General features: G+C 39.1%; 1 protein-coding gene across 1 annotated transcript in view; it reads left to right on the top strand.

Moving 5' to 3' along the window:
* LMAN1 (lectin, mannose binding 1) overlaps positions 1–4,577 on the top strand; it is a 31,443-nt gene extending 26,866 nt beyond the window's left edge. The window contains exons 12-13 of the mRNA NM_005570.4: positions 861–982; positions 1,271–4,577. Of these exons, the coding sequence (NP_005561.1) occupies positions 861–982; positions 1,271–1,307 (159 nt within the window). The 3' untranslated portion in view covers positions 1,308–4,577. The remainder of the gene's footprint in view (positions 1–860; positions 983–1,270) is intronic.

Raw genomic sequence — 13,544 nt, 5'->3', positions numbered from 1 at the left:
TTTTGATAACTCTCTTAACTATATTCCTGTATATATGCCTTGAATATACATTTTTTTCAAAGATGGCTTAATAGTTTTCTTATTGATCATGACCTCTCATCCAAAGCATTATTATCTGTCCCCTTAGTTCTGTTTGAGGTTATTTTTCTCGTACATTGTCTTTGTTGCAATGACCAAATTGATACTGTGTGTATCAATTTACTGAAGAACTTTGTCCCACAAATATAACTATATTGGGAACAACTAATCTTAGAAGCCATTCTCTCTGGGTACTTGGATGAAGTCTTTGTTCCTGGTATTTAATTGCCTCCTTATAATAGAAGGAATACTCAGGGAAATAGGGAAAGAAATATTTTTCAGAACACCAGTGAATAATGTTGAATGATATGAGATTGTAGAGAATGAGGACTGAGAAAAAGCCAGTCTGTTTGTCAAGTAGTTCATTGGTAGGGTAACCATGTAATTTATTGTCTGACCTGGGACACTTTTGAGAATGAAGGGGTGCTAATAATCACACCACTACAGCAAGCGTGAACTGGGAGTATCCAGAGGAGTTGTCTGTGGTGACGCTAGTCTCAGTGACCTCAGGGACAGCAACATCATCATATACTGTAATGCAGACAGGAGCCAGGAGGCAGTGAGTTAGTGACTGGGTAGTAAAAAGGTGGAGGCCTTCCAGTGTCAACTACTCCTTCAAAAACAGTTGTCAGTAAAAGTTAAGGGGATAGAAGGTTTTCTGGGGGATGAAAAAATGAAAATACTTGTTTATATAGCAAACAGTTTTATAAAGATTTCACATTTATTTCTTTTTCCAAACTGCTATTTTGACTAACTGTAATAGAAAGTCATTTGCCTTACAGCCATCAAATGAAAAGCCGAAATGCCCAGAACTACCACCATTTCCATCATGTTTGTCTACGGTCCACTTCATTATATTTGTTGTGGTGCAAACTGTATTATTCATTGGTTATATCATGTATAGGTAAGTCTCTTGATAAAATGTGACCCAATATTTTTCTGCATCTGTTTAATTAGAAATATTCAACTAAGTTATCTATGTTCATAATACAATTTTCACCACCTATAAAATTAAGTTTATTGTGATTTCTGTTCATTTCAGTTCACATAAAGTGCACGTGTAGAATATATGTTTATCTTAATGCGTTGTATACTTCAAAAGGCATTGATATTTTAATTTTAAATAGTCCTGTTTCTTTCCAAAGTTAAGCGTATAGAACTTCTTTAAGTGTTTGTTTCTTTTTTTCATTAGGTCTCAGCAAGAAGCAGCTGCCAAAAAATTCTTTTGACTACCATTTTCCTGTGTACTTCATCTATTTGTGTACAAAATGATGTCGTTTTGAGGGAATTTAAGTATTTAAATTGCTTCATAGTCTAAATTATTAATTTTCTTAATAAAATAACTGTTTAAACATTGATTTGCAGTTAAGAATAAACCTTAAAGCAAAGACAACCACATTTTAATTTGTTCACAGTATGTAAATCTGTCTAAATTTCAGTGAATTTCTGGTCAGTATGATGCAGCCTCTGAGCAGAATATTGACCAGTAAGAGGGTAAATAAAGTGGGGGCAACCCCTGGATATGAATGTTACCCCCTAAGTCTCCAATATTGCAGGTTTCCCTGTATAACGTAAACACACTTGCCCTCATGCCTCCCAGAATATGAGGTCTAATTAAGAAGTCCCATCAGGTTTATTTTGTAACCAAAGTCTTTTTTAGAGGTCAGACTTCCTAATCAAAGGCCTGGGCCTGCAGTCCTTTCATCTTAATGCAACTTCCTTTGAAATCAAAGAATATTTTGTCTGAGAGCTTTAAGGATCTGGTAATAGACTTCAAAATGTTAAGTGAAATTTTTTTTTCCTCTATTTATCAATGATATATTTCACTTTTAAAGGAAATTTTAGAGGAAAATTAATAGCTGCTTTTTGCCTAAAAAACCTTGTGGGTGGAAACATTCCTCTGAGAATGGCTTTTATAGGTATTTTGCCTGGTAATGTATTCATTCATGATTGCCCATATTCTTGAATGTCTTCATTCCAATGGGGTCAGGTCAATATTATGAAAATAATTTTTATATTTATATTTGTAACTTAAGGAATTTATTTCTCCCTTTACTACAGCATGTAAATTCAGCTCAAATTGCATGATCTGAGGATTTAAATTCACAAAACCTGCCACTACATTCTGGTTTACATTAGTTACTTCATGCTGGCTGGGGTTAGTGACCATTTGCATACTCTTTTAAATCAAGGAGGCTGTAGTAGAAGCAGTTTTAAGATTCTTGAAGGCAAAATTTGAAAAACAGTGAATACTTCTAATTGTTTCCTTTTAGTGCCAGAACTAAGGACATTGTGAAGCACTTGTTAGTAAACTTAACCTTGAAATGTCAGACTGGAAGGAGTTTTTATAGTCTTTGTGCATACTTCTAGGTATTACAGAAACAGTCTGTAAATGACATTTTAAGATGCAAATTTAATTCTGTTCACAGCTGATTTATACTGATTTTTGCTGCCTTCAAAATACTCTTTTACTTCTTTTAGCTAAAATGGTTGTCTTTCATTTGCCATAGAATTCCAAACAATACTATCTTATAAAATAGTACTGTTGAATTATTCCAAGCCTCCCTAGGTTTGCTCTCAAATGTCATTTACAGATTGGGCTAACGACCTAAAATCTATATATAAAGACTTTCTGAAGAACTCTGTATTATAGCAATACCAAACGAGTGCTGTGTGTGCAAACAGTCTGGCGTTGCTTTTTATGTTGATATTTATCCTAGAACACTGAAAGAGAATATGCCAGTGATAACTCACTTTACTTCAGTCATTTCAACACAGAAAATGCTTCTCTAGCATTTTTCTTTTGTAGTGTTAACATTTTGAAATTCATGTTTCAGAGGCTTCATCATCACAGAATTTACTCTTGCTCCATGAAAAAAAATTAAATACCTTCAGAGGAATATTTAAGTTGTAAACTATGAAACTTGAGAAATCCTCTTGAGATAAAAGGCTGCCAAATCCAGTATTATAAAGTCCATGGTCATATGTGCCTGTGCATTAAAGGAATACCAGATCTATGCAGTATACATTTTTCAGGCTGAAATTCAAGGGGAATCATTCTGATTATTCTTACTACAAATGGAGATGGCTATTATGAAACAGCATGAGCATGAGCCTTTTATCTTTTATACTTAGTGATATACTTTGCTTGAAAATCACTCAGCAAAGTAGTTCACATGATGTGTATCATATTTGAAGTGTGGTTTTTCTCAAAATCATTGACTTTAAGGAGCTCATTTCTGAACAAAAAGGTTTGCTCTGTGGAAAAATCAATCACTGCCAGGATTCTTTCATTTCTGTACTATTTTGTATAATTGAATTTGTTCACTTCTCTCACACCAGCAAGTGTTTTACAGGTGCCTTGGATTAAAACAAAATTGATTTTAAAATTTTTATGTAAGTCATTGTGTCTATGATGCCACTTTTAAAAGGAAAATGCAATTGCGTAATGGCTTATATCCTTATTTAATGTACCTATTTGTGTTCTAATAATTGTTTGAATGTTTTATTCAGCTTAAAACTTTACCATGAAGTCATAAACAGTAAACAATGTTTTGTTATGTATTAAGGGGATATCAGTGTTTCTCAAAGTATGATCCATGGACCATCTGGGTCATGGCGCCTGGTTTCAGACAACCTGAATCAAATCTTAGGGGTGGGGCTTTGGGATGTCATTGTTCAATAGGCACCTCAGGAGATTCTGAGCACACCAATGTTTGAGAACCACTAAAATGAGGAGTGGGAAAAAAAAAATAGGTGTTTTGTTAATTTAGAGCTGAGCTGAGAAGATAATATATTTTTATTGTCAATGACATTAACAGATATGCACTGATTCTTTTATACCTACAATTTACTTAATGTTCCTTTTATTAAAACGCGTGGTTCATGAGCAACTACAGACTGAATCCAGATTATTACCTGTTGCTTTCAGTATTTTCGTGATGGCTTTTAATCTTATGAAATCATCTTGAGATCATTCATGGTCAAGCCATGAAAACTCCCATCTTCAAGCCTGCCTGCTAAAGCTTCTTTGCCTTCCTGATTGTGATTATGGTAACAATTTATATCAGACAGTTGTACTTTTTGATAACTTAGGGAAAACAGAAATGACTTGAACAAGGGATTGCCTGCCTCACTGCATTGCAGAGATACAATTTTTGTAAAGAACACAAATAGCAGTTGTGAATATTAAGGTGTGATTATCTTTCCCTGTCCATGTGCTTATTGAAAGAAGATAGTGAACAAATGATTATATTGAGGATTTTTTTAATTTATAAGATCTAATGTGAAATCCACACTTGGAACTTTTTAGATCTGTCTGTTGCTTGTTTAATATATTTCTTTTATGACATTACTTAAAGTTTAAAAGGGTTTTCTATCCACTGTCAATTTCAATTGGATAACATTTTGTCAAGTTTTTTTTTTCCTGATTATTTGATGCTAGCTGGAATTCAAGAAATGGCATTGACCTTATTCAAATAAAGAAATATTTTAGTAAATTTGCTTTTTCCTTCATTGATCTTGGATAATAAGTTGCCATTTGTTTTTCAGACACAACCTGTATTGTGATAGCATTTCATTTATCACATGCTTTAGGCTCTGCCCGAGGTGGCCTGCTGCATGCAGAGGCAGTACATGGAAGCATGCCACGAGAACATAGAAATGGTCATGGATAACTGTTTACCCTTGCTGGTAATGAAAAATACAAACTAATTAAAACAATGTACTTGATGTTTTTACCTCTGATAACCAAATGATGGCAGAAGTGTAGTTAAGCTGGAACTCCTAGTCATTACTAATTAGTGGTAGTTTAAAAAATATTTTAATCTTTTTGACAAGTACCATTTAACCAAGTAATTCCAATTCTGAGAGTTAATGTAAAAAAAAAATAAAAGAGTAGGGCTTTGAGGTTAGACAAATCTAGGTTTGAATCCTGGCTCTCTCACTTACTGGAGGTGACCTTCAGTTTCCTCATAATACTTATCTCGCATGGTTATAAGCATAGTAAAAGAGCGTCTTTATAAGGAGGCTTCAAAAAATGATAGACTAATTGGTAAAGACAAATGGTGGATAAGATGAAAGATTTAAATACATAGATGGGTTCGAAAGAATTCAGAACTTAAAACCCGATCAGGAAGCCTACTAGTAGTAGGGAGTGGCAGAAACTAGACTACACATAGGCCCTAGGTACTGTCATTGAAAATTATTGACATTGTCATTGAAAATTCATTTGTGGCATTGAAGACATGGCTTTAGGCCTAGAAAACCCAGGAGGCTCGAACTGAGATGCTAGGATAAAGTGAGGACTCTGGAAGAGCTGCTCCTTCAGTGGAAATGGGCTGAAAGGACCTCTTACTTCCACCCCAACAGCTCCGAGAAGGCGTAGGAAGCTCTCTCCCTGGAGCTCTGGGTAAGGGGACATTTGTTAAGAAATTGAAGCCCAGCTGTATGCTTTACCTATATGGTGTGGAATTCTTTTAAGTCAAAAACAATGTGTAAATTTGTTCTTGTCTGGGAAAATCCAGAAGGCAAAACAAAACCACTCATTAGCAATAATTGCACAACAAAAGTACATTAGACAACCATAGGGACAGCCAGTCCTAACTAAAATGAGCTCTAAAAACTATAAACCAAACCAGAGAAATACGAAAGAGTGACAGTAGATACAATAATGAAACCTGGCACCTCCAAGAATCTGAGATGATAGAACAGTCAGAAGAAGACAACAAATATGTATACTTGAAATGACATTAAAAATACTGAAGAGTTTATAAAAGGACTGGAAATCATGAGGAAGGAATGAAACACTGAAAAATAAGACAGTTGGAGTTCCAAAGGACCACCCAAAACACAACTTTGATATGGGAGGTGGGGATCAAATTTGGATACCAGATTGGACAAAGCTCGAAAGAATTCTTGAATTAGAAGATAGACCTGAGCAAATTACCGAGAGTACAACACAGATATTAAAGTGGTGGAAAATGCAATAAATTGGCAATTGGTGAGAAGGTACAACATAAGTCTACCAGTAGTTCTAGAAGGAATTGGGAGAGTCATGATGAGGAACTGTTCAAAGGTGTAATAGCTAAGAATTTTTCAGAATTGATGCACACACGTATTTGAAGAATCTTGAGTCTGAGGCAGGGTTGTAGGTTGGAGAAGCTTCCCACAGAAGATGTTATCTGAGCCATATGCTGAAGTATGTGTAGTGCAAGGGGGACTGGAAGTGAACTTACTCCAACCAGAAAAAATAACATGAACAAAAGCATGGAGTTAAGAAACTGTAGTTTATGTGAGAACCTGTAAGCTTATTCTGCTATGCTGGGAAAAATGTTGGGTGGGATATACAGAGGCCAGATCCCAAGGCTCTGTAAAGGAGCTTGGACTTCATCCAGAGGGTAATGGAAGGCCATGAAAATCAAGCAGAAAGGCAATAGCATTTCAAACATTGCAATCTCTGTTTGCTTCATGGAGAATGGATTGGAGGAAGGAGACTTGAGAGAGACCAGCCGCAGTGCTCCCAGTGAAAAATGGTGGCCTGAATGAAGGCCAAAACTCTTATCAATAGTAGCATTGGACAATTAGAGTTAGTTTGGGCCACTCTAACAAAATACCATAAATGAGGTGGCTTATAAAAAACAAATTTATTGCTCACTGTTCTGGAAGACTGGGAAGTCGAAGATCAAGACCCTACCCTAACAACCCAATCACCTACAAAAGGCCCCATCTCCTATTAGTAACACCTTGGGCGTTAGGATTTCAACATAGGAGTGTTGGGACAAAACGTTCAGGCCATAGCAAGCATCTAATGACTATTAGAAGTGGGGAGTGAATGAGAAGGAAGAATGTAAAATGATACTCTGTTTCTGGCTAGTAGAATTAGATGTAAGGTGTCCTAAAACAGGGAACACAAGAAAAAGGATGGGAATTGAAGACGAGGGAAGAAGAGGTTGAGTTCCATTTGGAACATAGATTCTGACATTAACTAACCAAGTAAAAATGGCCAGAAGGCAATATAGGCTTGGAGTCAGGGCAGAGACATACCTTAATCTTTTACCTCTAAAATGGGGTGATAATTGAGATAACAGAGCACCATAAATAGAGCTTAGAAACGAGATGCTTATGCCCAATAAATGTTAGCTATTGTTAGTCTATGCGTCTGAAAATCAGAGAGAGAACTGACCCAGAACAGTACAACACAGGATTTTTGGCTCTTTACCTGCTCATGAGTTGTAAAAAAAAGGAAATGGTCCTCAGCAGTGCTGGGAGTCCCATTCCGTTTCTCAGATCCTCACAAATAAGTCCAGAAGCTGCCTGGTCAGCTGCCACATGGCATTTACTCTTTTTCTCTTCTCTGAACCCCTGTGATGTCCATTGGGTGTTGCTCCTCCTGATGGCGTCATCCCCTATGTTGGCCCTTAACTGCTCTTTATTCTGGATCTGCCATTTCTGCCATGTCAGCCCAGCAGTGGCACCGTTTCTGCCATGTTCCATCACACACACAGGCCCCACTGCTACTCAGGAGGATTTCACTGTCCTGCCAAACAAGCAGCCACTTCTGTCATCTGGACCAGGCACCCTCACGACTGCCATTGCCCACAGAAGCAATGGAGGCTTCCAGGAGCCAGTCCATGGAGTGGTGTATTAGGTTCTTCAGAGTAACAACCTTTAAATACATACACGCATACATATACACATATATACATATAAAATAAGTAAGGTATGGCTCACATGATTATGGAGGCTGAGAAGTCCCACGATCTGCCATCTGCAAGCCGGAGACCCAGAAAAGCCAGTTGTATAACCGGAAGGCCTGAAAGCCAGAGCCAACGGTATAGAGTCCATCTGAGCCTGAAGGCCTGAGGACCATGAGTGTCCCGGGCAGAGGAAGATCAGTGTTCCCAGCTCAAGCAGAGAGCAAATCCAACTTTCCTCTGGCTTTTTGTTCTATTCAGGCCCTCACAGATTGGACGATGCCCACCCACACTGGGGAGGACCATCTGCTTTCCTCAGTCAGCCAATTCAAATGCAAATCTCTTCCATGAACAGCCTCACAGACACACCAGAAACAATGTTTAACCAGATAATGCTGGCATCCAGTGACCCAGTCAAGTTGGCATGTAAAATTAACCATCATGGGTAGTTTGTGGCCAAATGGAGAAGAATGACTCTCTCCCCGCTGCATGTTACTTTCTGTTAAGAAAATACTAAAGCAGTGATGCATGGGCCCCAGTGTCAGAGTTCTCAGTGAGAATGGCTGTTACTATTTAATTAAAGGTCTATCTCTAGGAAACAGTCCTAATGGGTTCATGAGCCTTGGCCAGGGTGAACCTGAGTGAAAGACACTACAGAATTCCTCAAGCCTCTGGGAACTAAGGCTTTGTAACTGAGGCAAACTTACTGTGTCTGCTCTGGATGAGTCTCTCCTAAGAGCCTCCTTAGTACTTAATGCAAATAGACTTATTGCTAGCCATGCCACGAATGTTACAATTTGCCAAATATACCTGAATTCCAGGCATGAACATAGCTCAGCTCAAACTGGTCAGCCCACTGTGTAAACAGTAAGTTAGAAAATTAATCTTTGGTTCCCAGCCCATCTTCCCCTTCCATGTAGAACCAGCATGGCAATTTACAATCAGATCATGGAAGCCAGCATGTCCTGTTAGAAAATAACAACCACTGAATTGCCTACCAACTCAGCACTCGACCAACATGGAAGTTCTGTGGTAGAGAGGATACGGAATAGAATACAGTTATTACCTCACCAGAAAGTGATGTCTGTGAACTGAAATAGACCAGTCATACAGTGTTGGCAAAAGAAATACTTTAGGGGCTAGGCATGGTGGCTCACACCTGTAATCCCAGCACTTTGGGAAGCCAAGGTGGGAGGATCACTTGAGCCCATGAGTTTGAGACCAGCCTGGGCAACATAGCAAGACTTCATCTCTACAAAAAATAAAAAATTAGCCAGGTGTGATGGTGCATGCCTGTAGTCTCAGCTGTTCAGGAGGCAGAGGCAGGAGGATCGCTTGAGCCCAGGAGGTCAAGGCTATAATGAGCCATGGTTACGCACTCCAGCTTGGGTGACAGAGTGAGACCCTGTCACACACACACACACACACACACACACACACACTCACACACAGATTTTGAAACGTTCGGTATAACACTGCTGAATATTTCTGGAAGACAGAAGAATCAGCCCGGGATACATTTCTTAAAATGGCCACTTTGGGAGACAAAGGATTGAGATGCTTTGAGTCTCCACAGAGTCACAAATGGTCTCACAATCTATCAGATAACAATGGGCCAAGGTAGTACTGAAGAGACTCTTTGGTTCTGTAGCTCAATGAAAACCATACTGTCATGATTGGGGAATTTCTTTGCACAGCTGGTATATAGCCTTGAGTTTGTATCTACAAGAATATTAACCAATCCTATAGAAATGAAAACAAACATGCTACTTGGCCTGGCATTTCAATACAGTTCATTAAATATGTATTAAGCATCTATGATGTACATGACACTCTATTAGGTAAAACACAAACCACTAAAATGTCTCCAGTAGGCAGTTATTAGGATTAGGACTACGTGTTTAATTTCCTTTGTGGTTTCCGTAATGGTCCTTCTATTTCCCAAGACTTTTTCCTCTTTTTATATTACCTCTTTTTTCCCAGTTAAAATAGAGGTTGAAAATTAATCCCAGTGAATCTCATCTTTAGATCATTTCTACACTTAGCCAATTAGCCAAGTGTGGTGACACATGCCTTGGCGCTTGGTGACCTTTTTCTTCTTCAGTTCTGCTGACCTTCATGAGCACAGAGGTTTAGCTGCATGGTTACCCCTGAAATGTTGTGTCACCCGCTAAGAGGATATAACAACTGAGACAGGACAACCTAATCACCATGATTTCCTTGGGGAAGGTCAAAAAAGAAATGATACCACTAGCCGATTTTAATTACAGGAGCAAAATTTAGGTATTTGATGTGAAAAGAAAAATCCCAGGTGAAGGACCAAAATGGATTTATGCTGTTTGAATGTGATCTCTTTCTAAAATTTAATTCCACTAATGGGATTATTGCTTCTTTAGCAAATTCTTTGGGTCAGATACCATCAAAATTTTCAAGTTGAATAGGCCACAACGAATCTGTGTTTACAAAGGTGATCCATTAAATCAGAATGAGGCATGATTTTAAAAAACTATGGCAAGTAGTCTTGATCCTGGGAGCTGGCAAAGAAGGCAGCAACCACTATGAGGTGGATTTGTAAGCACTAAGATGCTACTTCTGTTATTGGTGGAGGGTGTCCAGGTTCTTGGCATTTTGAACAAGGAATTAGACAAAACGCACAAACAAAGCCAGGAAAGAATGAAGCAACAAAAGCAGAGATTTATGGAAAACAAAAGTAGACTCCACAGACTGGAAGCGGCCCCACCATAGGGGCTCAAGAGCCCCTTTGCAGAATTTTCTGGGGTTTAAATACCCTCTAGAGGTTTCCCATTGGTTACTTGGTGCACACCCTATGTAAATGAAGTAGTGGCCTGCAATCAGTCTGATTGGTTGCGGAAAGCAAACAATCAGAGACTGAAGTGAAGTTACAAAGGTTACACCCTATGCAAGTATCTGATTGGTTGTGGAAAGCAACCAATTAGAGGCTGAAGTGAAGTTACAAAGTTACACTCCTATCCAAATGTCTGATTGGCTGCAGAAAGCAGCCAATCAGAGATACTTTGAATTTTCCATCTGCCACGTAGAAAAAGTTGGTGGGGGTGGGGGTGGGGGTCGGGGTGGGGGTGGGGGGCCGGGAGTTGCAAAGGGAGTAAGGAAGTAGCTTCCAGTCCTTTTGTTACTTAGGTGTGGAAAGTTGGGGTTTTCCTTTTAATTTAGTTCTAGGAAGTCAGCATGAATTGGCCTTAGGTTCCCTGCCCCCAGACCCTATTCTCCTGTCTCCCTTTTGCCTGAAGATAACTCTCCAAGTGCCTCCATCATCCGATGTAGTACCTTGATTACTTCCATTGAAAGCGATTTGCTCAAAAATAAGCCATTAGGCCTAGTGGCAATCATTCATTCATTGTTTTCCCCCAAGATTCTTATTGATCACTTACTATGTGCTGAGCATGATTCTCAGAGATGGGGATGCAAAGGTGAACAAAATTGCACTGGTCTCTCTTATGGAGCTTACATTCCAATGGAGTAGATGGAAAGGAAACAACTAAATCAAGGAAAATATACTTTCAGGTAGAGTGCAGTACTATGAAGAAAAATAGAATAGGATAGAGGATTAAAAGGTGGGGTAGTGGAGGCAGGGTATCTTAGGATGGTCAGGGAAGTCCCTCTAAGAAGGTGAATGAGAACAGAAACCTGAATTAAGCAAGGGTGAGCCACCTAGAGATGTGGAAGAGCAATACAGGCCAGGAGGTTCCACAAGGACATAGGTGGGAGCAATCTTGGTTTAAGGGCCAACAAGGACATGAATGTGATTAGAATGAGCAAAGGGAGTGTGGCTGAAGAGGCTGGCAGCTAGGCAGTGGGCAATCTTGCAGCAAGGAGTGGGGATTCTATGCAAGGACAGTAGGGAGCCATGGGATGGGGACACCTAGAGGTCCCATTCATGAATCCAGGGCATTCATTTCCCCTTTCTGAAGGAACGGAAGATTCTACCACCATTTCTACAAGATTCTACAGCCAGGCTTGGTGGCTCACACTTATAATCCCACCACTTTGAGAAACTGAGGCAGGCAGATCACTTGAGGTCAGGAGTTCAAGACCAGCCTGGCCAATATGGCAAAACCCTGTCTCTACCAAAAATACAAAAGCTTAGCCGGGCATGGTGGCGCATGCCTGTAATCCTAGGTACTCGGGAGACTAAGGCAGGAGACTCGCTTGAACCCAGGAGGCGGAGGTTGCAGAGAGCTGAGATCCTGCCACTGCACTACAGCCTGGGCAACACAGTGAGGCTGTCTCCAAAAAAAAAGATCCTACACACCAGCTAGTAGTTCCTGGATGTCCAAGGGCAAAGGTCATTGTAATAAATCAAGGAGTAAAAAGTTTTTTAAGTCGTGACCTCATTCTCAATGGAATTACCTGTTGAGGAAATAATAAGATATTTGATTTCATAAAGCACTCTCAGGAGACCTTCCACGGCGACCCTGCTGAAGCTACCACCGAAGAGTCCCCATAATGCATGACACCCCCTCTTCCTAACCCCCTCCACACAAACATACATTCAGAAAAGGACGGGACAGGGAGAAACTCCTTTACACATGGGTGCTGGAGTTTAGAATTGACACCCTCACCATTAATATTTCCTAATTCCTCATACAATGGAATTTTTAGAATAGATTTTATAATAAATCTAAATAATTACTTATAATAAAATGTAGACCGAACAGACAGAAACACAAGGCTGTGGCTTTTATTTTATGGTTTGAAAAGTTCTATGAGACAACATTAATTAGTAACATTCCTCAGTGGACTGCAATGTAGTTTATTATAAATGGTAATTTAGAGATAATGGTATGAACGTGTTAAGTTCCAAGCAACCCATCTAAAAGAGAAAGTGGAACTCAATATTGATGGGCATTCTCCTCGAAGCCCTGAGTACAGCTTATATTTCACCCTAAATTATCTTTTTTAGCCTTTCATATTGAGACCATTTAAGCAGCATTTTAAAATAGATTACTAAAAGGGAAAGCAGACGATAAAATATATAAAGCAAGCATTTTAGGCAAGAATCCAGATTATGTAATTCTATATGATCAGAGAGATAATCACCTGGTTTCTGAGAGGACTCATGCCTTCAGATAAAATAACAATGGATTACATCTCTTCCTTCCCACCCCACCCTCTTTGGCAGGCTTTAATTAGAAAGATACTAGTGTAGATTGAAGTCTTAGCCATACTCAACTCTTCCCTTGACCTGAAGAAAACCACAGCCATAGAGAATCTGGTGGGATACAAAACATTGTCAGTTTCATCCAAGTACACCAGTGAGCTTAAATAGAGCACCCAGGAGGTGCACTCTTTATGCAAGAGAAAAAAGGTGACCCCTTACATATTGATGATTTGACTCACATAATGGTCTTACCTTCTGGATCAGAGCCTTGAAGTGTCAAGCACATCATTTCCATATAGACAAGTAATATTTCCATGCAGGAGAAGGCTAAGATAATCTTCCAGATGTAAACCAAGGACCTGCTGTCTGGGTCTTTGCATTTGTCAGTTGTGTATTTATGTGCGGGACACAGTAACTATTGAAGCAAACCGAATTCAAGCAAACTAAAAAGCAAATCCTTGCATAGTACTTAAAGTCCAATGAGATAAAATGATGGATCGAAAGGATTATTTTTGCTTAATGAAGCATTCTGGGTTTTGAGTCTCATTGGACTCAGTTTTTCAACAGGATGTTTTGCTCAAGGGCTGGAATTTGGAAATTCCACAACAGCTATATAATCAGTCAGCTCTGAT

The sequence above is a fragment of the Homo sapiens genome, chromosome 18 (assembly GCF_000001405.40).
Source record: "Homo sapiens chromosome 18, GRCh38.p14 Primary Assembly".
Taxonomy (NCBI): Eukaryota; Metazoa; Chordata; class Mammalia; order Primates; family Hominidae; genus Homo; species Homo sapiens.
Note: the sequence above shows the minus strand (reverse complement) of the source record. Positions and strands in the feature narration are given on the sequence as shown.